General features: G+C 41.9%; 2 long non-coding RNA genes across 3 annotated transcripts; both read left to right on the top strand.

Annotated features, from left to right (window-relative positions):
• On the top strand, positions 1–24,683 carry LOC105374602 (uncharacterized). 2 transcript variants are annotated; one of them, XR_001742541.1, is made up of 3 exons: positions 1–178; positions 13,366–13,457; positions 24,477–24,683. It is a non-coding gene; the product is annotated as an uncharacterized LOC105374602 (long non-coding RNA). The 2 variants fall into 2 exon arrangements; XR_001742540.1 differs by lacking the exon at positions 1–178 and adding an exon at positions 12,903–13,205.
• A 143-nt stretch (positions 24,684–24,826) lies between these two features.
• LOC124900928 (uncharacterized) lies at positions 24,827–25,826 on the top strand. The gene is made up of 2 exons (XR_007058669.1): positions 24,827–25,087; positions 25,626–25,826. It is a non-coding gene; the product is annotated as an uncharacterized LOC124900928 (long non-coding RNA).
• Positions 25,827–26,841: the final 1,015 nt, after the last annotated feature.

The raw sequence follows: 26,841 nt of genomic DNA, 5'->3' as shown, positions 1-26,841 counted from the left end.
TCGCCGGGTCAGCTTCCCCGGCCCAGTGCCCAGCGGGATGAAGACGCCGGGCCCCGGGCATCCCCAGGTTTGGAATTAGGATTAGGCGTTGGAGTTAACCGGACTCCGCGGAGTTCCGGGGACCCGGAGACAGCATGAGTCTCAGCGCGCAGTCAGCAGAGGCGGTCCTGGCGCCAGGGTAGGTGAGGGCACAAGCACCGAAGCGGGTGGGGCAGCAGCCGGGCGCCGGAGTGAGCGGGGGCACGGACGAGGGACAAGGTGGATAGAGGCGAGACCCGGCACCGGAGTGGGTGTGGAAATGAGCACCCGGGCGAGTGAGGGTTTGAGCTTAGCGTTAAAGTCAGGGTTAGGGTTGAAGTTAGGGTCACGGGTAAGTGTTAGGGTTACAGTTAGGGTTGGGGTTGGAATTGGGGTTAGGGTTTAGGGGTAGGGGTATGGGGTTAGGGTTAAAGTTAGAGTTAGGGAAGGGGTTAGGGTAGGGGTTCGGGTTAGGGGTTAGGGTGATGGCTGGCGCTAGGCTTGGGGCTGGGGTTGTGGTTTGGGCGGGGTCGGGGTTAAGGGTTAGGTTTATGGATTAGGGTTAGGGTTAAAGTTGGGGTTAGGGGATAGATTTTAGGGTTAGGGTTAGGGTTGGGATTTATGGTTAGGGTGAGGTTCGGTTTGGAATATTTTTGGGGTTTGTGGGGTTTTAGGGTTTGGTTCAGGGGTTAGAGTTAGGTTTTGGGTTGGGGTTGGGTTTAGGGTCAGGGGTTAGGGTTTTGCGGTTAGAGTTAGGGTTGGGTTATGATTAGTGTAGTGTCGGTATTGGGGTTTGGGTTGGGGTTAGGGTTAGGGTTCAGGACTAGGGTTTGGTTTAGGGGTTTGGGATTAGGGTTAGGTGTTAGAGTTAGCAGTAGGGTTAGAGGCTAGTGGTAGCATTAGGGTTAGTGGTAGGGTTAGGGTTAGCTTTTTGGTTAGGCTTAGATTAGCAGTGTGTTTTCAGAAAGAGTGGAATAATTTTTATGTTTTGAAAACTATTATTTCGTTTATTTTCCTTTAAATATGCAGCAGAAGTTTACTGCAACTAAATTATGTGGGTTCTCTGGCCACTTATTTTACCTCAATTAATATGTGGTTTATTTCAACTTGATGTTTTTAAAGACAAGCTTGTGGTTTGTGAGGGTTAGAACATGCACCATAAGCAAGGAGGCCGCTGGCAGCGCTGGAAATGCTGTACCCTGACCCTGACCCTGACCCTAACCCTGACCCTGACCCTGACCCTGACCCTGACCCAGAAGTGCTGTACCCTGACCCTGACCCTGACCCTAACCCTGACCCTGACCCTGACCCTAACCCGGAAGTGCTGTACCCTGACCCTGACCCTAACCCTGACCCTAACCCGGAAGTGCTGTACCCTGACCCTAACCCTGACCCTAACCCGGAAGTGCTGTACCCTGACCCTGACCCTGACCCTAACCCTGACCCTGACCCTGACCCTAACCCGGAAGTGCTGTGCCCCAGGTTCTGCTCAGGGCCGGCTGCTCTGAACCTTCACACTTCTGAAATGGCTGGACGTCTCTGTACGAGCTGCTTTTACCCAGTTCCATTTATTCTTATATTTTACAAGCATTTAGTAAATTCTTGAGCTAGGTAGGCCCTGGGGACTACCAAAGGAATAAGATATCTGCTATTTTTATTTTATTTTATTTTATTTCAATAGTTTTGGGGAACAGGTGGTTTTCGGTTACATGTGTAAGTTCTTTAGTGATGGTTTCTGAGATTTTGATTCACCCATAACCCAAGCAGTGTACGCTGTACCCAATGTGTAGTGTTTTATCCCTCACCTCCCTCTCACCTTTCCCCTAAGTCCCCAAAGTCCATTTTGTCATTCTTATGCCTTTGAATTCTCATAGCTTAGGTCCCACTGATAAGTGAGAACATACAGTATTTGTTTTTCCATTTCTGAGTTACTTCACTTAGAATAATGGTCTCCAACTCCTTCCAGGTTGCTGTGAATGCCATTATTTTTTAACCTTTTATGGCTGAGTAGAGTTTGATGGTGTGTGTATATATATAATATTTGATTTATCCACTCATTGGTTGATGGGCATTTAGGCTGGTTCCATATTTTTGTAATTGTGAATTTTACAATACTTAAAATATTTTAAGGAATACTTAAAATAGCTGCAGTGCAGGATAGAAAGTGTGCACAAATGATCACCTTTTAAATAGATGCATGAGAGGAAATAACTCTGAAATGCAGTGGTAAGTATGGTTCAGTGGAGCCCTCAGGACCTATCTCAGTGTGTTCCTCTAGCATCTCTTCTAGTTTCCTCGTGCGCTCTGCTTTCTAGCTGCACCTGCCTTAAGCTTAGCACCTGTCCTATTCCCTCCTTCACTCTGTGCCCCAGGTTCCCTTGTGTTTTCATTAGCACCTGTTGTATTCCCTCCTGGACTCTGCTCTCCAGCTGCACCTGTGTTCTCCTTAGCCCCTGTCCTATTCCCTCCTTCACTCTGTCCCTCAGCTGCCCTGTGTTCTCCCTAGCACCTGTCCCAGTTCCCTCCTGCACCCTGCTCTCCAGCCGCACCTGCATGTTTCTTAACACCTGTTCTAGTTCCCGCCTTCATTCTGCTCTCCAGCTGCACCTGCATGTTCCTTAGCACCTGGCCTATTCCCTCCTGCACTCTGCTCTCCAGCTGCACCTGTGTTCTCCTTAACACCTGTCCTATTTCCTCCTTCACTCTGCTCCCCAGCAGCACCTGTGGACCCACAGGTGGCTTTTCAGCTGTGCCTCCTGCCTATGCCCTGAGGAGCCCAGCACCCAAGAGTGAATGGATCAAAGTACTGACTCCATTTTTGGGTCGATCGTCATTCTAGGCTCTTCATACACAACGTACAAGGCAACACATCAAGTAGATATTGTTATTTTTATTTAACTAGAAGGAAATTAAAGTTCATAAAAGTTATACCCCGAGATCTAGTGCATGGAAAAAGGGGTTTGTGTGATTCTTTCCACTGCTGCTCTGTACACTCAGAGCCCTATTCCTCCCTGAAAGAAATTCTGTTCCTAAACACTGCAGTCACTGAGATTCTTCACTTTCTTACTGTCTCTTACTTTTATTTTTTTATTTTGTAGGCAGTGCAGTGGCTCTATCTTGGCTCACTGTAACCTCCATCTCCCAGGTTCAAGCAATTCTTCTGCCGCAGCCTCCCAAGTAGCTGGTACTGCAGCCACACACCACCATGCCCAGCTAATTTTTGTATTTTTGGTAGAGACAGGCTTTCACTGTGTTTCCCAGGCTGCTCTCGAACTCCTGATGTCAAGTGATCCACCTGCCTCGAACTCCCAAAGTGCTGGGATTACAGGCGTGAGCCACCATGCCCAGCCTTCACTTTCTTCTCTGAGTCAGAGATCTCTAGCAAGATAGCCTTTTCACAACTTTTATTGCAATGGAAATATTTCAGACCTTTGTCAGGTTAAACTGTTAAAGGTATGTCTGTTTGTCTGTGATACGCTGAATTTAGGAATGTATGACTCAGTAATGAAAAGTTGATCTGGCATCACCCTAGGCATTTGAGCTCCCAGATGGAGAAGGATCTGTTTTTCCAATCACTGACAAAGCCTGGCATGATCATGGCTTGCAGGAATGCAGCACCCCAAGAGGACCCTAGCAATTGGGAGAATTTTGTTTACATGACAGCCCCAAATGACCTTAAATTCTAAATAAAAGTTTGAAGGGTGATTTGTATAAGGGCCTTGTTTTTTGTTTTTTGTTTTGAGATGGAGTGTCACTCTGTCGCTTAGGCTGGAGTGCATTGGGGTGATCTCGGCTCACTGCAACCTCCACTTCCCAAGTTCAAGTGATTCTCGGGCCTCAGCCTCCCAAGTAGCTGAAATTACAGGTGCTCGCCACTATGCCCAGCTAATTTTTTGTATTTTTAGTAGAGACGGGGTTTCACCATGTTGGCCAGGCTGGTCTCGAACTCCTGGCCTTGTGATTTGCCTGCCTCAACCTCCCAAAGTGCTGGGATTACAGACGTGAGCCACCTGCCCAGCCAGGGCCTTGTTTTTAAAGAAAAAAAATTATATATATATATAAAATATACTGGTGAACATTTTACTCAATATTTAAAAATCTGTAAGACCTTTCAGTACATAAAGCTTATATAACAAAATCTAGCAAAAGTCTATAAAATCTAAACACATTTCTAAAAGAAAGGGTGGTGCCACGAAAGTTTACATGCTGAGGCTTTCAGGGTGGCTGTGCTGTGTTGGATGTGGGCAGTGTTCTCTGTCTCGTCGTTTTGCATATATGACAGTTCTGGCTCACAAGAGCCCTGGGAGCCCATCTGTCAGCCTGCATCTTGTGGCATTTGGCAAGTAAGATCTGTTTAATATAAGGTGTCAGTAAAGCCAAGGTTATGATATCTAAAAATAATCAACACTAATTCCCTAGAAATTTAGTCTCTTTTGACCAAACCACTGGTGCAATGTGGAGTTACTGCATTATATGTAAGAAGAATAACACCCTCACTCCAGCATCTGAACCAGAACTGACACTCGGTGGTGATTCCCCCTTTATTCTAGGAGGTATTAATGTTAGCTATGGCAATGTAAAACCAATGTTTTTGGAGGCAGTAGGGGCAGAGAATGGAAAGTCCTCTACAGCCGTCAACATGGGGAGTGAGACAATGCAGGTGTTGACTCACGGAACTGGACAAGAATCTGCTGCTCCTTCTCTACTTAGAGTCTCTATCATTTGCATAGAAGGCTTAAACGCAGGGAAGGCATGAGGATTCCGTGTAAACTTCAGTAAGCTGCATAAACAGAGGCGGTGATGTTTTATGTCTCTGATCTTTTCCAAGGACATCTGGCCTCCGGGTTGCAGCGCGATGCTTACTAACAGAAGCTGACTCAGTTGTGTTTTCTGGTTTTGGGGAATATCTTTAATCTCCACATGAATGTTTATAAACCGTTGGGGCTAAACATGAAAGTCACTCTTCAGGTGCCGTCTCCACCTAGCCAGTGTGTACATTTTCTTTCTCTCTCTTGCAGCTGTTCTCTTCCTACAGACTGAATGAAAATGAAAAGGAAGTCATTTCTGCATGTGTCACAGAGGCATCCTTTGGTTCTAAAGTGAGCTGAGTTGGATTCCACAAGCATGTGGTCCTTGTAGCATGTGAATAGGATTCAGGCATGGACGAGAAGGAAGGGTTTTGGGGGAGACTGTAATCGCCCTGTCCAAGCTAACCCTCCAGCTGTGCAGGTGACAGGCTTGCCTGAGTTTGTGTTGTGTGTGTGTGGCACAGCTGCTAATGTAGTGTCCAGAAACATCTTACAAAGTCAGCATTTCCCTACATGTAGTTTTATGTGGGTATAAATTCATTTCAGTTCTTGCCATGAACATTTGTACAGTGCTTCCAATTGAGGGTTTGACTGCCTCATATCTGGAATCCTTGAGGTTTATCCTTCTGGGAGTCAGTGTCATGAACATTTTCCCCCTAGGTCAAGAGTCTGCTGTCAACATGATGTTCTCTAATTACACGGCTTCGTACAACTCCCAGCTCTGTGGACATATGTTTTTGTATTTAAGGCATTCCTTTTTTTACCTGTTCATAGATCATCCTTGACTCTGCTCTTTTCCCACTGCCTTTATCTCAGGTCCTTCCCAAGGTTTCGTCCTGGCTGACTTCTTTTAAGTACTGGAAGTAGAGGTTGTGGGGTCAGTCAGCCGGGCTTCCGATCCCTTCTCTTCCCATTACTTGGCAAATTAAAGCTGTGTTTAGGCCTTATTTATGTCATCCTGGATTTCTCAAGAGTTACAATTTTTAGATATATTAATTACAATTATAGGATTGTTTAAAGATCAAACAAGACAATGTATATTGTTGTGTTTTGTAATTTGTTGTTGTTGTTGTTTGTTTGTTTCAGACGGAGTCTTGCTCTGTCACCCAGGCTGTAGTTCAGTGGCACGATCTTGGCTCACTGCAACCTCCGTCTCCCGGGTTCAAGCGATTCTCCCGCCTCAGCCTCCCGAGTAGCTGGGACTACAGGTGCCTGCCACCATGCCCAGCTAATTTTTGTATTTTTAGTAGAGACAGGGTTTCACCATATTGACCAGGCTGGTCTTGAACTCCCGACCTTGTGATCCGCCCGACTCGGCCTCCCAAAGTGCTGGGATTACAGGCGTGAGCCACCGCACCTGGCCTGTAATCTTTAAAGCTCAATAGAAATATAAGATCTTGCTATTATGATGCGATTATAAAATCTTTCATTCTTTGCTTTTTCCTTGGTTGCTGGCCTAGAAATTGAATCAATTCTGTTCTCTTTTTATTTTTTAAAAATAATCTTGATCATGTGAAATTGCTGATATTTTAATATATTGCTGATGTTTGATCTATTCGAATGGTAGCTTCCTATGATTTCTTCTAATAGTTAAAATTCTATCAGGCTGGGCACGGTGGCTCATGCCTATAATCCCAGCACTTTGGGAGGTCAAGGTGGGCAGACCATCTGAGGTCAGGAGTTTGAGACCAGCCTGGCCAACATGGCGAAACCCTGTCTCTACTTAAAATACAAAAATTGGTAGGAGAACCACTTGAACCTGGGAGACGGAGGTTGCAGTGAGCCGAGACTGCACCACTCTACTCCAGTCTGGGCAACAGAGCGAGACTGTGCCAAAAAAAAAAAAAAAAAAAAACAAAACAAAACAAAACAAAATGAAACAAAAAAAACCCAAAAGTACATCCAAGTTGTGTACTGAAACGCCAGACAGTGCCACTAAGTGAATGATGATATAAAACTCTTATTTCTTATTTTGCTACGATGTTAGGTTCTTAACAATCATTCCGCCTGCCAGTTTACCTTGGTGTTTTTTCCCATTAAGATTGGTTTCCCTTCAATGTCTGGTGATTCTTCGTTGTTCACATTTAATAGTGACACATGAAGAAGGAGAATGAGTCTGTGTTATCATTAGTGAAAGGGTCGTCTAGATGGTGATTCTTCACTGTTCACATTTAATAGTGACACATGAAGAAGGAGAATGAGTCTGTGTTATCATTAGTGAAAGGGTCGTCTAGATGGTGATTCTTCACCGTTCACATTTAATAGTGACACATGAAGAAGGAGAATGAGTCTGTGTTATCATTAGTGAAAGGCTCGTCTGGAGGTGATTCTTCACCGTTCACATTTAATAGTGACACATGAAGAAGGAGAATGAGTGTGTTATTAGTGAAAGGCTCATCTAGATGGTGATTCTTCACTGTTCACATTTAATAGTGACACATGAAGAAGGAGAATGAGTCTGTGTTATCATTAGTGAAAGGCTCATCTAGATGGTGATTCTTCACCATTCACATTTAATAGTGACACATGAAGAAGGAGAATGAGTCTGTGTTATCATTAGTGAAAGGCTCGTCTGGAGGTGATTCTTCACTGTTCACATTTAATAGTGACACATGAAGAAGGAGAATGAGTCTGTGTTATCATTAGTGAAAGGCTCGTCTGGAGGTGATTCTTCACTGTTCACATTTAATAGTGACACATGAAGAAGGAGAATGAGTCTGTGTTATCATTAGTGAAAGGCTCATCTAGATGGTGATTCTTCACCGTTCACATTTAATAGTGACACATGAAGAAGGAGAATGAGTCTGTGTTATCATTAGTGAAAGGCTCGTCTGGAGGTGATTCTTCACTGTTCACATTTAATAGTGACACATGAAGAAGGAGAATGAGTCTGTGTTATCATTAGTGAAAGGCTCGTCTGGAGGTGATTCTTCACTGTTCACATTTAATAGTGACACATGAAGAAGGAGAATGAGTCTGTGTTATCATTAGTGAAAGGCTCATCTAGATGGTGATTCTTCACCGTTCACATTTAATAGTGACACATGAAGAAGGAGAATGAGTCTGTGTTATCATTAGTGAAAGGCTCGTCTGGAGGTGATTCTTCACTGTTCACATTTAATAGTGGCACATGAAGAAGGAGAATGAGTCTGTGTTATCATTAGTGAAAGGCTCATCTAGAGGTTTTACTTCAGGGAGTTGATGGGGTTTCCGCATGTTAGTAAGTGATGCCTTTGGTCTGGATGGTTTCCTTTCTCTGGAGAAAACCTTCTCCTCTCCTCTCTGGAAGGCAGGTGCTTGCTTGTTGGTTGTTGGTGTTCTACTCACTGGTTACCCGAGGGGTGGGGTGCAGGCATCGGTGAGGGAGGATAATGAGGGTTGACTGTCAATGTACAGATTTTAATCAACCCTCCTGTTTTCTGACGCCTGCCTCACTTCTCCGCCCCTCACCCCCAGGAAGGACCACAGATGATGCTCCTTCTCGTGGAGTCGAGGCCATCAAATCACTTTTTGTCTTTGAGAGAGAATGAGTGTCGGCTCTCACATGCTAAGCACACATTAATTTCTCTTATCATTTATTCCCACCTAGTGTGTGAGTGGTTTTGAGAGAATCCTGTATGGCATGGTCCTCAGGCGCTTGACAAAATTGGTCCACCCTCTCCCAGGTAATCCTGGCTCTAGGCCCTCTTCCATGTCCTGGCCTTCCCCAGCAGTCCCCTGGAGCCCTCTGCTGACCAAAACTCTACACTGAAGCGCCACCCAGAATGGTGGCCCGTGAAGGGTTCCCAGTTCGGGACACGTTATTCCTCTTCTGTAAAAATTGCACCACTTTCAGATAGACTCTCAGGCAAAGGCACAGAAAATTATCTGATTAGTTTCATGATCTTTTAGAGGTTTCATCTGAGCCAGTAGTTTTCAAAATGAGTTGAGGGTTTCATATCCTAAAATGTTGCATTTAAATTCTAGTTAAAAATAGTTTAACTACTGTATTTTTCCATTCTAAGACAGATGTTTTTTCCCATGCTTTACTTTTTGTGGCGTTAGCATGTATCTTACAATTGATCCACTGCATTTAATATGATGAGATTGCTTCTGTTCTTCTAAAAAATTATGAATACTTTTGTGACAGGTATTGATTTAATAGCATCTCAGAATGTAAAACATCCATGTTACAGTCATTAACTCTTCTACAATATTTAGATGCAAGAAGGTCATATTTCTTTCTTTTTATAAGTCAAATTATATCTAGCAGAAATTCCCATGTATCAAGATATGGAAGATTCCAGTTCACAGAGGTTCCTCATCATATTCTGTGCCAGACACAGGAGGCTGGTATGGTGGGACTTCATGCTCCTCACCTTCCTATCTTACTACTTTTCTTGTGACTGCCAATTGCTGGCCCTTTACTCTGAAGGGGGTGAGAGGACCACTGCCCCTGGCACTGGGGAGGGATGCTCCTCACAGCACACGAAGTGCCAAGAAGGCAGCTGTCAAATGCTGGAACCTTGGCCACACCAACCACATCTGGGGAATTGCATGTGACTAGGGCCTAGCCCATTAGGAATGCTCCTCTTCTGGGAACATCTCTTCAGTATCTTCGTTTTGATTTCCCATTGGCTAGTCCAGCTTACCCCCTTAGATGATTCTAGATCTCCCCAGAAAATACCTAGGTGAGAGTTATCCAGGCATATTCTCTTTCCCTCCTTTAAACTCCTAAAGGCTATATTGCGTGTGTGTGTGTGTGCATGCGTGCGTGCGTGAGTGTGCATGCATGCGTGTGTGTGTGTGTGTGTGTGTGTGTGTGTGTGTGTGTTAACAGAAAGGCCTAATCTGCAAAAACACAGCTTGGTCTTCAGGAAATAGATGGGAAAAGGGAAAAGGGCTGCTTTATTATTTCCTGGTGCTTCCAAAGCACACACAAAGAAGATATAAGTTAGTACTTTCTCTAATAATTCCATCTGTAACAATGAGCATTTAAAAGTTGTGATAATACATTTAAATACCATGCCCATACAAGTGCATTATAAAATGTAGCATTAATGAAACAATTAAATGTCCCAACTTAACCTGTCTTCTTGTAAGCCATGAAATAAATTTCTCCCATGATCTCTATGTATATGTTTACCATTTGTGCAAATATACCACTGAATAGAGCTTGTAGACAATTTTTATTTTGACAGCAGTCCACTCATGTAAAATTGCACACAAAAATACTACTATAACCTATGTGCATTCTAGATCCAATTCAATGTAAACCAAGGCCCATTTGTTCATGCATGTGTTTTTATGATTTTGTCTGTTCCTTTTCTGATTTACATATTTATAATACAGAATGTGAGAAGAGTGAGCTCTTTCTAGTTATTTAGCTTTAAGATACAGAAAACTGTTCTAGAATCTTTAAAAAGCAATTGCAGGAATTTTTTAAAAGTCTCTTGAAATTAAAGTCAAGTTTTTTTAAAAGTATTCTTTAAAACTACTTTTCTGTGTACATCAAGATTTATCAATAGCATATGAACAAAATAAAACAGGAAAGGATGGTAATGGCCACCTCATATTGCTTATTTCTTTTATAATAACTAAGTCATATAAATTGAGTTCACAAAAATATTTATATTAATGAAATTATAATTTATCATTGGTAATGTTTGAGTTTTTCTTGTGCATTTTTATGTAGCAAGAAAAAAAGCGTTTGCTATTAAAAATCGTTTTTAAAAAATCGGAGCAAGCCTAAGCCCCTTCATTTTACGAACACAATAACCTGAGGCTCATCAGTGCTGGTGACTCACACAGGCGCACACTCAGCATTGCTGGATGTCGGCTCAGGATCCAGAATGCATTTGGACAACACATGCTACATTAATAAATGCACTTTAAAATAGGCCCATGTTAATCCCAAAGTAACTAAACATGTTGGATTTGTAAAAGAAGATGTGTATGAATGAGGACATGGCATTTCGACATGAGTTCTGATTCCCGCCTTTCTAAAAGCAGAATCTGCAGTCCATTTTCCCATTGCGAGATTTCAGAGAGCCTGGCGGCACTTACAGCAGACATCAGAGATGCCTCAGCGTTTCAGATGAGGGCGGTAAAGACCTTCTTTGTTACATGAAAACCTTTGTTTTCCAGGGGAGAAAACACAGGTTGGGTCTAAACTCAATCCTCCTATTGATATATTTTAGTGACGCTGAAAGAGGTTGTTGCGTTTGGCAAGTGCATGTGGAGCTGTGCAGTCCTGCACCGAAGCCCTGCAGTCCTGACTTCTGAGTGGAGCTAGAGGAGAATTATAATAATGTGTTTGCACTACTTGCCCAGTCGTAAAAAATAGCAAATTTTTTTAAGGCATGTTTTTAATGAGAATAAAATAGTCTAACAATGTTTACACACCTATTTTAGTTATTATATTCTCTAAGCTATTTTTATCCTCACAACCTTGGAAGCACTCCACCATCTCCATTTCAGAAAGTAGGCAGTAACTGAACAAAACTGTCTACTTTTTTAAAACAGGATTTATTTCATTAAGAAAGTTTATAGTTTATGTAATTAATACCGTTTCGTGGTCTGCATTCAATGGGTGTTGGCATCTGCACACTGTCGTGGGTCTACCGTTGTGGTGAAATCACACACGGTGGTCTCACTGCCCTAAACGTCCAGGGCTCTCTGCCCATCCATCCTTTCCTCTCCCCAATCCCTGTCAACCACTGATTATTTTACTATGTATGTAATTTTCCCTTTTCCAGAATGTCACGTAATTACATAGATATTTTACTATCTATGTTATTTTCCCTTTTCCAAAATGTCACATAATGCCCACAGCAATGAATGCGAGTTCCTGTTGCTCCACATCCTGACCAGCATTTGGTGTTTTTGGTCTTGTGGATTTTGGCCATTCTAATAGGTGTGTAGTGGTATCTGACTCTTGTCTTAATTGGCAATTCCTAATAACATATTATACAGAGCATCTTTTCATATACTTAATTTCCATCTGCATATCTGTTCAGCTTTTGCCCATTTTTAATTGGGTCATTTGTTTTCTTATTGTTGAGTTTTAAGAGTTCTTTGAATATTTCATATATGAATCCTTAGATGTATTTTGCAAATATATTCTCACTGTCTGTGGTTTGTCTTTTTATTCTCTTAACAGTATCTTTCACAAAACAAAAGTTTTTTTATGTTAAAGTTCAACTTCCCAATTTTTTTCTTCGTGGATCATGCTTTGATGTTGTATCTAAAAAAAATCACCAAATCCGAGGTTATCTAGAGTTTTTCCTTATGTTATCTTCTAGGAGTTTGAAAATTTTGCGTTTCATATATTGATCTAATATCTACTTTGCATTAACTTTTGTAAAAGGTGTAAGGTCCGTTTATAGATTCATTTTTTTTTCTGCGTGGATGTCCAGTTGTTCCAGCACCATTTGTCCATTGAATTGCCTTTGCTCCTTTGTCAGAGATCAGTTGGCTGTATTTCAGTCTGTTTCTGGGCTCTCTGTTCTGTTTCACTGATGTATGTGTATGTGTCTTCTGTTTTGCCTTCAATTAAAAAATATCTAATTGCTACCTCAATTTGCTTATAAATTCTCATTTGTAAACAGAAAAGCATAAATTAATGCCTGGGTATCTTTTAGGGTAGATGTTGCATTGAATACAATGAGCAGAATGAGTTATAATCTTAAAAAATATAAAAATTTGACCATAGTGGTAACAGATTTACACACTAGTGACATCAATGACAGAGTCCATTGCAATATTGCTTCCTCCCATAGCCTCAGCTCTGCTTCACACCAGGTAACTACCAATCCCTTCTGTGCTTCATTCAAGGATTTCTGTGGGGTGGAAAGCAGAAATATCATGATATCAGTGGAGAGAAGAAGGCAGTTTCCCAGGCTGGAAGCAGTCAGATCACCAGTGGGTCCCAACACTGCTCTGTAGCAATGCCTACAGGGTGATAGAAACAGAGACAGGGTGCAAATGAGGTGGGTGCAGGCCCTGGGGTTCCAGTGTTTCCTGGTTCCCATGGTCTATAAGATGCTAAGAAATGAAACCTTCTGGGCTTTTGGGGGCTCCTGTGGAATTGGAAAACGAGAAAGTGAGCAGTGACAATCTAGACTGATTATTAGAGGTACTTCTCCCACTTTTCAGAAACCAAGGAGCCTTTGATTAGTAGTGAAATTGTGGCACCCCAACTACAGTGGAGTGGAATGTCCTGCTATTCTGGAGGGGTGATGGCTCAGGGTCAAGACTGGACTAATTAGAAAAAAAAATGCACTCCAGGAATATCAAGTCCGAAACAAAGCTCATTTCTCATGTGCGCTCCAGGAGTATCAAGTCCAAAACAAAGCTCTTCAAACCACCTAGGAAGAGAAAACAGCATGACAAGGAAAGGTATATTTGTCTGATCCCAGGAATCAATATAAACATCCATGATAACTGCACCTTTTTAAAAAATATATGATTTCGATGAGACAAGAGAAAGAGACTGATTGTTGCTGAGTCCCTGCTGCAGTCCTGACACAGCTCTCCTTATTTTGTTGATGCTCATGAGGACCCTGATGTCTGAGGAAGAAGGTTCACATCCAACTCTGCCCCTGGTGTGTCACGTGCCGGCCTTGTCAACGCACACGAGAACCTGACAGGGTGAGTGTTATAACCCAGTCATAGAAAAGGAAACTGGCTCTAAAGTGTTTGGCATCTTACCCAAGTTCTGACACTTAGCAGAGGCCTGAGTTTAAATACAGCCTCGTCTTGCTCTTCGACAGCCTCAGCACCACATGCCCTGGGTGGCCCACGCAGTGAGTCACTGACAGCCCTCGTGGTTGGCCCGTGGCACAGCATGGAGCAAAATGGCCCACTGACCTTTTCAGACACTCGGGCAATGCGTGATATTGGGTATGTGGTCACTCCCAGTGAGTTCTATTGTTCAGGTTAATAGAATAGCTAATTCTATGTTTATTGTGAATAAAGGGAGATTTCTTGTGGTTTTTAAGAATATAAATCTTATCTATTTTGCCTACAAGTTGGAAGTTCCGATGCTATAGGAAGCATAAGTGCAGGTTATAATGATGGGTCTTTTATAAGACTGAATTCACATCAAACTGAATCAGTAACTCCAGCTGCATGAACAGGGTGAAACATTAAACATTTAATGAAAATAATTCCTTTCTCAGGTCACAGCAAGGACTAAATATGTCCAATTATCATGCCCACTAAGAAGATGTATTGTGATATTTGCAGTTAATCACTAATTCAGTTCAAAGGATATTTATTAATTGCTCTGGGCATAACATCAATTGGAAGCAGTGTGTTCACATGGAAACAAAACTTACCTGAGACTCTAAGTCACAACTTTCCATGACCACCACACATATATTTTTTTTTTTTTTTGAGACGGAGTTTGGCTTTTGTTCCCCAGGCTGGAGTGCAATGGTGCGATCTCGGCTTACCGCAACTTCCACCTCCTGGGTTCAAGCGATTCTCCTGCCTCAGCCTCCCGAGTAGCTGGGATTACAGGCATGCACCACCATGCCTGGCTTATTTTGTATTTTTAGTAGAGACAGGGCTTTCTCCATGTGGGTCAGGCTGGTCTTGAACTCCTGGCCTCAGGTGATCTGCCTGCCTGAGCCTCCCAAAGTGCTGGGATTACAGGCATGAGCCACCGCCCCCGGCCGACCAGCACACATTTCTAATTTGAAATACATATCTAAAGCTTCAAATGCATAAATAGATATCCCAATCTAGAACTAAGTCAATAGTTGCTTTGAATTAATTGTTTAAATTATCCTGGGAATCGGAAAGATATGTCTACATGAAACAATAAAGGCTATATTAGAATTAGTAAACTTTAGAAGGCCATTTTAATCCTAATATATAAACATACTACCTAGGCACACTGTTTAAATACATCTGCAACCTACTATTTTTAGATTTAGGTAAATCATTAAACCTGAAATTTGGAAAAGATTCCAGTGTTAGAGCTCTAGACTATGAAACTTGAATGTTTTTCTAAACTTTTTTAGTTTTATCCAGAAATACAGATTTTCCTGCCACCGAGAACTGCAAGAAATTTCACTTGGAGTCTCCACATAGTCAACCATGTGATGGCAGCATCAGCGTAACAGATACTATCACAAACATCCTGTGACTTTTATATTTTTTTTAATACTTTAAATTCTGGGATACAGGAGCAGAACCTGCAGGCTTGTTACACAGGTATACACATGCCATGGTGGTTTGCTGCACCCATCAACCTGTCATCTACATTAGGTATTTCTCCTAACCCTAACCCTCCCCTAGACCCTCACCCTGCAACAGGCCCTGGTGTGTGATGTTCCCCTCCCTGTGTCCATGTGTTCTCATTGTTCAGCTCCCACTTATGAGTGAGAACATGGAAGTGAGGTTTTCTGTTCCTGTGTTAGTTTGCAGAGAATGATGGTTTCCAGCTTCATCCATGTCCCTGCAAAGGACATGAACTCATCCTTTTTTATGGCTGCATAGTATTCCATGGTGTATATGTGCCACATTTTCTTAATTCAGTCTATCATTGATGGACATTTGGGTTGGTTCCAAGTCTTTGCTATTGTGAATAGTGCTGCAATGAACATACATGTGCAGGTGTCTTTATAGTAGAATGATTTATAATCCTTTGGGTATATACCCAGTAATGGGATTGATGGGTCAAATGGTATTTCTGGTTCTAGATCCTTGAGGAATTGCCACATGGTCTTCCACAATGGTTGAACTAATTTACACTCTAACCAACAGTGTTAAAGTGTTCCTATTTCTCCACATCCTCTCCAGCATCAGTTGTTTCCTACTTTTTAATGATCACCATTCTAACTGGCATGAGTTGGTTTCTCATTGTGGTTTTGATTTGCATTTCTCTAATGACCAGTGATGGTGAGCTTTTGTTCATATGTTTATTGGCCACGTAAATGTCTTCTTTTGCGAAGTGTCTGTTCATATCCTTTGCCCACTTCTTGATGGGGTCTTTTTTGTTTTTTGTTTTTTTTTGTAAATTTGTTTAAGTTCCTTGTAGATTCTGGATGTTGGACCCTTGTCAGATGGATAGATTGCAAAAATTTTCTCCCATTCTTTAGGTTGTCTGTTCACTCTGATGAGAGTTTCTTTTGCTGTGCAGAAGCTCTTTAGTTTAATTAGATCCCATTTGTCTATTTTGGCTTCGTTGCTTTTGGTGTTTTAGTCATAAAGTCTTTGCCCATGCCCGTGTCCTGAATGGTATTGCCTGGGTTTTCTTCAAGGGTTTTTGTGGTTTTAGGTCTTACATTTAAGTCTTTAATCCATCTTGAGTTAATTTTTGTATAAGGTGTAAGAAAGGAGTCCAGTTTCAGTTTTCTGCATATGGCTAGCCAGTTTTCCCAACACCATTTATTAAATAGGGAATCCTTTCCCCATCGCTTGTTTTTGTCAGATTTGTCAGACATCCTAAACCTTTAAAATTAAGAATTTACATTTTTTAAAGTAACTGACAATCATTTAAAAATCCATAAGTTAAAAAATAATAATTCCTCGTATGTTTTCAACCAAGAGAAGTGAAATGGTAGTGTTGTGTACATGACTATATATATTAGTCAAAATGCATTGATTTCTTCACTTAAAATTACTAAATTTTATTATATGTAAATTAAACTCAATTAGACAATAAAAAATAAGCTTTTGATCCTGAAAAAATGCCTACATATATACAAACTACCTCTGAATCAAACTACTTTTTCAGAATTTCTAATTTAAATATTCAGAAATATGAATGATGATGATGAATTTTAACAAGGCTTGCATAATTCAAATCTGTTTTGGATGATGCCCGAGAGGCATATTAGCTGCTGGACTTATGTGGACTTCCTTATCTCCTTTGCCTATGAATAAATAGGAGGTTGAGGCAGAAACAAGATATGTAATTTATGTACAATGAAACTTTCTACTGCCCAGGAAATGAAGTTTTATATTGCCCAATGAATTGTGCCTGGCAGCATAATTCACTGCTTCACAATTGATCATTCTTTTTACCCTTAAAGCACCCTTGAAATGATTGACTCAACCATGAGAGAAGCACTGTAAATATTCTCAGATACAAACTCATAGTATTAGCTTCACAGAACAACTGCAGATGCAGGTAACTAAAAATCCAGCTCAATTTGACTTTAATAAGAAGGCAATTTATTGACTCAGATGGGTAGTTCAGAAGCAGGCCAGGCTTCAGGGTGAATCTGAGCACAGAAGTTCATGGATGCTACCCAGGACTCAGTCTCTTCCCAATTTTCTGCTCTGCCTTCAGTGAAGTCAGAATCAGTCTTAGCATGGCAAAATCTCCAGGAATAATTTCTGAGGCTGCATTCTTCATCAAAGAGGGAGCATGAACAAGCACTCTCTTAGTACAACTTGTATTTGACTCTAATTGGAACAACTCAGGCCCTTGCCCATCCCCAAGTCCATTAGGGGGACCAAGGGAGTGCTGTGTGGCACCTGGCATGAGCCTCAGTTGCGCACCCACCTTGGAACCAATAACTGTGACATAGGGTGAGACAGTGCTGGTTAGGTTAAGTCAACCAGCACCCACCCCATATTTCAAACCATGTGACTGAATAACTCAGGGCTCTGTTAGGAAGGAGAAAAGGGGATGCTCCTTGAATAGTATCCAACATTCAACTACAATTTGATTTGACAGGAACCTGGAGGCCTTGCCCATAGAAATCTCTCACAGTTGCTTGGAGAGAGCAGTCAGTACAAAAATCTTATGGCAGCAACCCTGTGGCCTCAAGGGCGCCATGGACCTGGTGTGGGGGGTGGGGAAGGGAGGGTGGGGAAGGGCTCAGTGTCTTCTGAAGATGAAGCAGAAGAATAGATGGCACTGCCTTAGGAGAGTGGAAAATGTTTAACCCCAAGAGATGCCTACAGAGGCAGCTGAGCCACACCACAGACTCCTAGAAGGGTTTGTGTTAGGGTTCTCAAGTGTCTAGGTAAGGAGAGGAGATGGTGAGGCAGACACAGAAGGGCCAGTTCAAAGCATATTGGGAAGAGAGATGACTACAGAGGCAGCTGAGCCACACCACAGACTCCTAGAAGGGCTTGTGTTAGGGTTTCCACATGTCTAGGTAAGCAGAGGAGATGGTGAGGCAGGCACAGAGGGTCGGTTCAAAGCACATTGGGAAGAGTGTGATCCCAAGACCCCTCAGTCCACACTGGCAGTCAAATACTCCTCCCTGACACTGGAAAAAGAAACAATTTATTTTCTTCAGACATTGAAACAGGACTTTTCTAAGCTCCAGGACACTGGGTAACGCTGCTTATGCAAAGAGAGTATTTAGTGAAAGCCAATTTACTGAGCAGGGAGATCCGCAGACTCTTTCTGCCTCTTGGCTCCCAGAATGCTGGGTCAGTCTTGCAGTCTTAGGAGACTGGCGACCTCTTTTTGGAGATTTGCAGCTACCAACATTTTCAGGGTTTCCTCAGGTCCAGGAGTGCCAGGCTCCTGTGCACTCTTCCTTTGGGGAAGCAAAGGAATTCTCCATCTGTGCGTACAGAATGCATTAATTATTTTTTTTATTTTCTATTTTCCTGATGCTCTAGCATCTGGTGTTTACTGGGAAAAGATTGCCTTTCCCAGGGCCAGCCAATTAAACTATCAATCCAAAACCCGCACTCTTAACCACCTACTTTATCTGGCTCTGATACTGTAAGAGACAATACCGCCCTTCCCTAATCACCCCAGGGCCAGGTACTAGGCAATTAGAGATGGCCCCTATGCCCCAGAGCCTGCTGAAGCTATTCAGGCTGGCCAGCCTAAGCCTGCCTGCCCTGCCTGGCCTTGCTGTCCCACGGAGATCACAGCAGAGGCTCCTGCCCATGCCTTCCCCTCTCCTGCCTGTGCCTGGGGCTTCCCTGTGCCTCCTATTTCTAGGGATCTGTGAGTATGAACATATTTCCACAGGACAGTCACTTCCATGTCTGCAGGTCTTAACATCCCCGATTAAAACAAATTCTGAGTACATTTTAAAACATAAGTCTTCCAACGGAATTTTTAAAACCTTTATATGGAGATTTAAAAACATATATGTAAATAAACAATGAATATAACAAACCCCTATATATCTATAACCCTTCAGAGCAACCAGAAACACATGGACAATTCTGTTCTGTCTATATTCCCAAACAAAATTCATACATTGTGATTAGCTGATGTGTTTTTAAGTCTATATAATTTATACATTTCCCCTGTATCTCCTATATATCATTTTCTGGTAATTTAGTTTTTGAAGAAGCTGCTTTGATTTTCCTGATTCATCTTCAAAGTTTAAAATAGAATTTCACAAAAAGAAAAAAAAGAAGCAGACGGAAGGAATAAAAATGTCAGAAAAGATATCAGTGGGATTGAAATGGTACAGGTGCTTTGGAAAACAGTCTGGCAGTTTCTCAAAAAGTAAGACATAGAATTACTCTTTGACCCATCAGTTCTACTCAAGTCTTCATACTGAGGAGAATTAAAAACATATGTCCACACACAAACTTGTACAGCAGCATTATCCATAGTAGCCAAAAAGAAGAAACAACCCAAATGTCCACCAACTGATGAGCGGATTAATAACATGAAGTATTTCCACACAATGGAATATTATTCAGCCTCAAAAAGGAATGGTTGCCAGAGGTTGGAGGAGGGAAAAAATGGGAAATACAGTGTTCCTTTCTGGGGTGCTGAAAACGTTTTAGAATTAAATAGTGGTGAAGTCTGTGCTACTTCTAGAAAGTACTAAATTGTACACTTTAAATGAATAAATTATAGTATGTGAATTATATCTCAACTTAAAAATCAAGAACATTTTCCAGAAATAAAGTTTAGGAATTTCCAGATTTAAAAGATCTATTGAGTTCCCCTCAAATTGAATTTCAAAGTTCTTCTACACTGAAGCACATTATTGTGAAATTTGATAACATCAGAGATAAAGAGCTGAAAAGCTTCCAGAGAGGTGAAAGAAAAAGATCACCTACAAAGAATCAAGAACCAAAATGGCACTGAAGTTTTCCATTGAAATTCTAGATATAATAAGAAAATGAAATTTGGCCTTCACATTCTGAGAGAAATATATATATTTTAAACCCAACTAAACCATCAACCCAGTGTGAAAATAGTGCTCAGGCATTTTGGGACATGCACAGCATCAAAGCTTTACCTTAGATCAGGAAGCTACGGTAAAGTGGCAACCTAAGAAATGGGAGAATGAATTTCGGGAGCAGGTGATCCATGCAGGAGAGAGGAGCAGCACTGCCGAGAGCCAGGGGTGAAGCAATTCAAGCTGGAGACACTGAGACAAACACAGGGGCGCCTGGCATTCTCTGAGAGGCCGTACAGTTGTTCTCACAACTCGGTAAATGTGGCAATTACCTCTTATTGGTTACAATGCATCTTCCCAGGCCTGCCAGCAGAGATTCTAAATCCTGATGCAAATGATGTGGCAGCACCTGTGGTTATAGACATGAGTGTTTGAATCACAGATCCAGGTCCAAGCCCAAATCCCCTCAGTAATTAACTGTATACTGTCATTTAATTGCTTAATCTCTCCAGCACGCCACTTCCTCAGGCCAATTCATATGGGAATATAAATTCATAGGAGTGTTATAAAGGGTAGTTTGTACAATGCACTCGTGACTATGAAATGCTTAGCATGGCATCCAAAAAAGTCGTCAATAAGTGGTGCAACAATACCTTTTTATTACAGAAAACACACCCAACCTAGAAAACAGTGTTCATAGAGGAATAAGAGAAGTAAGTACAGTTGAGTGAGTAGAAGGAGTCAGCGTGGTGAGGGCCTTTCCTAGATGAGGCATCCACCACACTTGAAAGTGGGATGAAGGGCCAGAGCTGAACATCAACCAGGACAGGCAGGAATGAAGTAAACAACTCACACCTGTTCCTTCATGGGTCAGTTCCTTTCATTTTCACTTTTGACTCTGATGCAAAATTAGAACTGTTCTCTGCTCAAATGTCATTATTCTTAATAAAGTAAAGTAAATAAGGAGGATCCAAAAACTTCAGTTGCGTAAAATACATGCTCTTATTATTGCAAGGCAAATGGGAAATATGTTGCAGTTGGTCATCGCCATCACAATAACACAAATTCTAAAACTTACACTGTTTACAACTGAACCACACCCTCAAATAATCAAAAAATGGTCCCTCCCTAACCTCTCTCCTCAGCAAGAGAAGGTCTTTGGCCACCCCAACCTGGGCAGGAGAGCAGGTGGAGAGTGGGAGCCCACAGCTGCAGCAGCAAGAAGCATGAGGACTGATGGCTTTGACCAAATAATAGGGAATTGGGTTGAGTTGTTTGAATCATTTTCTAATAACTGATTTATAAAATAGGTCAGACTCATTGAAGGAGCTGGGGAATGGGAGCCCACCCCTCAGTCTCCAGCCTCCCCAAACTGTGTGTTTCTCCAGAGTAACCTTGAGCCTCTCCCAGCATGGATTAAAACCCATGGCTCTTCCAGATCTAAAATCTGAGGCTCTACAATTTAAGTCATAGTTAGGCACTTCCATACCTGTGATGGTAACATGCTTACATACTCAGTCTATCATTGTCTAATATTGAATGAAAGACACACATTTTGTTTACTTATGATGCAGCAGATAGTCTGTGTTTACCTGCGTTGTCTCAGGGTCAGCTCTTTATTTCCAAGAATCCTGTCCCATTTCCTGGAGCCTATTGACTGGGGGAGAGATGTGGTCAAAAGTTAAAGGTATGTTGGGTGAAGGCTTAGAAACATAGCTTTTCTGACAAGCAATGGGGAAAAGATTCCCTATTCAATAAATGGTGCTGGGATAGCTGGTTAGCCATGTGCTGAAGATTGAGGCTGGACCCCTTTCGTACACCATACACAAAAATGAACTCAGGATGGATTAAAGACTTAAATGTAAAACCCAAAAATATAAAAACCCTGGAAGACAAGCTAGGCAATACCATCCTGGACATAGGAACACACAAAGATTTCGTGACAAAGATACACAATAACAATGAAAAGCAAAACAACGAAAGCAAATATTGACAAGTGGGATCAAATTAAACTAAAGAGCTTCTGCACAGCAAAAGAAACTGTAAACAAAGTAAGCAGGCAACTTACGGAATGGGAGGAAATATTTACAAACTATGCATCTGACAAAGGTCTAATAACCAGCATCTATAGGGAACTTAAACAAATTTACAAGAGAAAAACAACACCACGAAAAAGTGGGCCAAGGACATGAAAAGACACTTCTCAAAAGAAGACAAACATGTGGGCCACGCATGGTGGTTCACGCCTGTAATCCAAGCACTTTGGGAGGCCAAGGCAGGTGGATCACGAGGACAGGAGATCGAGACCATCCTGGCTCACACAGTGAAACCCAATCTCTACTAAAAATACAAAAAATTAGCGAGGTGTGGTGGTGAGTGCCTGTAGTTCCAGCTACTTGGGAGGCTAAGGCAGAAGAATGGCGTGAACCCGGGAGGCAGAGCTTGCAGTGAGTGGAGATCGTGCTGCTGCACTCCAGCCTGGATGACAAAGCAAGACTCTGTCTCACAAAAAAAAAAAAAAAAAAAAGACAAATGTGGCAAACAAGCCTATGGAAAAAAAGCTCTAGATCATTGATCACTAGAGAAATGCTCATCAAAACCACAGTGAAGCAGCATCTCACACTAGTCAGAATGGCTATTACTAAAAAGTAAAAGACTAACAGATGTTGCAAGGTTACAGAGAAAAGTGAACACTTATATACTGTTGGTGGGAGTGTAAGTTAGTTCAACCATGGTGGAAAACAGTATGGTTTTCAGGGGACCTGCCCCCAAAATCACGTAGGTTCTTTTCTATTTTCCTAAGCATTGGCTGGCTTGAGAAATAAAGGGACAGAGTACAAAAGAGAGAAATTTTAAAGCTGGGCATCCAGGGGAGACATCACACATTAGTAGGATCCGTGATGCCCCACAAACCACAAAAACCAGTAAGGTTTTATTAGGGATTTTCAAGAGGGGAGGGAGTGTGTGAATAGGTGTGGGTGACAGACATCAAGTACATAACATGGTAATAGAATATCACAAGGCAAGTGGAGGCAGGGTGAGACCACAGGACCACAGGACCGAGGTGAAATTAAATTGCTAATGAAGTTTCGGGCACCATTGTCATTGATAACATCTTATCAGGAGACAGGGTTTTGAGATCAACTGGTCTGAGCAAAATTTATTAGGCGGGAATTTCCTCTTCCTAATAAGCCTGGGAGTGCTATGGGAGACTGAAGTCTATCTCACCTCTGCAATCTCGACCATAAGAGACAGGTACACCCCGGGGGGGCCAGTTCAGAGACCTACCCCTAGGTGCACATTCTCTTTCTCAGGGACGTTCCATGCTGAGAAAAAGAATTCAGTGATATTTCTCCCATTTGCTTTTGAAAGAAGAGAAATATGGCTCTGTTCTGCCCGGCTCACTGGTGGTCAGAGTTTAAGGTTATCTCTTATTCCTTGAACAATTGCTGTTTTTTCAAGGTGCTCAGATTTCATATTGCACAAACACACATGCTGTACAATTTGTGCAGTTAATCCAATTATCACATAGTCCTGAGGCGACATACATCCTCCTCGGTTGATAGGATTAAGAGATTAAAGACAGGCATAGGAACTCACAAGGGTATTGACTGGGGAAGTGATAAGTGTCCATGAAATCTTTACAATTTATGTTTAGAGATTGCAGTAAAGACAGGCATAAGAAATTATGAAAGTATTAATTTGGGGAAGTAATAAATGTCCATAAAATCTTCACAATCCACATTCTTCTGTCATGGCTTCAGCCGGTCCCTCCGTTTGGGGTCCCTGACTTCCCACAACATATGGTGATTCCTCAAAGAGCTAAAAGCAGAACTAAAACATTTGACCTCGCAATCCCATTACTGGGTATATACCCAGATGACTATAAATCATTCTACCATGAAGATACATGCATGCAAATGTTCATTGCAGTGCTATTCACAATAGCAAAGACATAGAATCAACCCAAATGCCCATCAATCACGGATTGGATAAAAAAAATGTGTTACATATACACCATGGAATACCATGTGGCCATAAAAAATAACAAGATTATGTCTTTTTCATTAGTATGAATGAAGCGGAAGGGTATTATCCTTAGCAAACTAATGCAGGAACAGAAAACCAAATACGGCATGTTCTCACTTATAAGTGGGAGCTAAATGAGAAGACCTTGTGAACACAAGGAAGGAAACAACAGACACTGGGGGGTCTACTTGAGGGGGGAGGGTGGGAGGAGGGAGGGGAGCAGAAGACATAACTATCGGGCACTGGGCTTAATACCTGGATGATGAAATAACATGTACAACAGACTCCTGTGACACGCGTTTACCTATATAACAAACCCTCCCATGTACCCCCAAACCTAAAATAAAAGTTAAAAAAAAAGCAACACAGCTTTTTATTTTTTCTTTTTAATACCATAAAGGTCACGGGCCATTTGCCACCTGAACAGTCAGTAATACATGAGTGGAAAGAAACTGAACACCCAGGGACACCAGAGACTGTTCACTGTAGAGGAAGGAGGCAGGCATATGGCATAAGGTGAACTTCCTCCAGTCCCAAAGTGGTTCCTCTCTCCTCTTAAATGCAGGTCCCATGGAATTCAGACAAGGAAGTAAAGCAAATGAGAATGGCCCACAGGGGAGCAGTTCAAATGCGCAGAAAAAGATAGAGCAGCCCCAATGAGGAAGGAAGGCTGGACAAGAAATGGATTTGTAGGGAAGACAATGTGCACCCATCGGAGCTCTGATTGCTTTACTTTCACTACCCTCCCCTGCCCACTAACATCGAAAAAGTATCAATGGCAAGTGTTGGGCCATAAGACATCTCCTTGCTTTATAATCTGGATTTGGGGGGTTAAATTTCAAAGATAATGAAAACATCCTCCTTTAGTTAACTTTTAATTTCATAATTGTAACTTTTTTTTTTTTTACAGATTTGTGAACATGGCATATGGCATACGAACACCCTGAGAGTAGGATCGTGGGGCATCCGATGGTGATTGTCCTTAGAGTTGGTGGGGGCCCAGCTTCCCGCTGTCTGTGAACTGCTGCGTGCAGAATCGGTGTCTTCTTTAACTTCACAACGATGCCACAAGGCAAATAGCATTGTCTTCACTTTCTGTGTAAGAAAACTAAGGCTGGGTGAGAGTATGCAGAGCTGGATCATGGATTTGTTTGGCTCCTTCTAGTTTGAAAACCTGTGAGTATTTTCCTGTCTCTAATGCTAATCTTAGCACTGTATTTGGAATAAGCATATAAACATATAACCACAATCCACTCAGGTAATATGCAACTAAATTATAAATAAATGCTCAATGAGATTATGAGTGATTGAATGAGCTATATATAAGAATAATAACTGGTGGAAGTGTTATTCATAGGATAAAGGAGAAATCATTTAAATGGCTAACAGTATAAGGAGGGTTAAATCAAGCACCCAGGTGTGGAAATAGCTGATTTACATATATAGTTTATGCCATGTAAAACGTTTATGATCTAATATTGGATGAAAAAACAGAAACAACATTTTATATACAGTATAATCTAAAATGTCTACATTTCATTAAAAATGCAAGAATATAATTATCAAAATTTGAGTGATAAAATTATGAATGATTTTTCTTTGTCTTATAACTCATTTTGTATTTACCAAAGCTCCTCCACAGAGAATATACACTTTTGTAATTAGAAAAAACGTTATTTGTTAAAGAGATCCTAAATGACATAATATTTTACAGAAGTTAAAAGCTGAGATCGTGAGGATTTCCAGGGACTCCTGCCACCAGCTCATCTCACATCATCATTTACATGGAAATGTTGGGACTGAGGTGACCTCATGCCTCTCAATTCCCAGCCAGCCTTCTCTCCCTCTGGCTCCTAGCCAGCCTGTTAAACAGAAAAAATAAGTGAGACAAATAAAAAACACCCTAGTGTTCTAACAAGTTACACATAATTGCTTGCTTACCAATTGTCTACCTCAGAACTTTGTTTTCCTCTTAGAGTCAATATAATCATTAAATTCAGCTTCTGCCATTTTACAGTCTGAGATGCGGGACTTTGCATAGGGCATGGATGGGTTTCCACAGTCCACACGAGGATGGGAGGAGAGCAGGGCAGACCCAGCCACACTCAGTGAGAGTTCTGGCTGGAGTTACTTGGCTGGACATCACTCCAGAGAGAGGAGACCTTCTTCTGGACCAGCTACCAAGACAGCCCCTAGTTGGAAAATCTTTTCTTCTAAGGTGAGATGCAGCCCCCACTGGAGAGGAAAACACCAGAGAGTTTTTAAAAAGGAAAAACCAAGGTAAGCTGAGGAGCTTCTTGACAGGAGACACAGCGGAGTCCACGCAACTGGGGTGAATCTCTGCAGTTCCCCAACAGGACGGCGGGAGGGAGCCCCAAGACACTGGCCCCTGCAGTGTGGGAGCAGTGTGAGCCATCTGCAGTGACATTGTCTCCTCTGGCAGCAGCCTCCATCCCGAAATCCATCTCAGGGTCTGTCCTTACAGGAACCTGATGCCAGAGCTGTGCGCTCAAAGTATTTGGACACAGGTATTCTGTGTAACTGAGCATTTTCCAGGCCTTGCTGGAGGTCATTCTGCATGAACTTCATGGAGCTCTTTCCCATGGGCTTCTTTTCTTTTTTTTTCCACTCTTTTTTTTTTTATTATTATTATACTTTAAGTTCTAGGGTGCATGTGCACAACGTGCAGGTTTGTTACATATGTATACATGTGCCATGTTGGTGTGCTGCACCCATTACCTCAACATTTACATTAGGTATGTCTCCTAATGCTTTCCCTCCCCCCTCCCCCCACCCAACAACAGGTCCTGCTGTATGATGTTCCCCTTCCTGTGTCCAGCTGTTCTCGTTGTTCAATTCCCACCTATGAGAGAGAACATGCGGTGTTTGGTGTTTTGTTCTTGCGATAGTTTGCTGAGAATGATGGTTTC

This window comes from Homo sapiens, chromosome 5 (assembly GCF_000001405.40).
Source record: "Homo sapiens chromosome 5, GRCh38.p14 Primary Assembly".
Classification (NCBI taxonomy): Eukaryota; Metazoa; Chordata; class Mammalia; order Primates; family Hominidae; genus Homo; species Homo sapiens.
The sequence above is the reverse complement of the archived record's forward strand: the minus strand, read 5'-3'. Positions and strand labels throughout refer to the sequence as shown.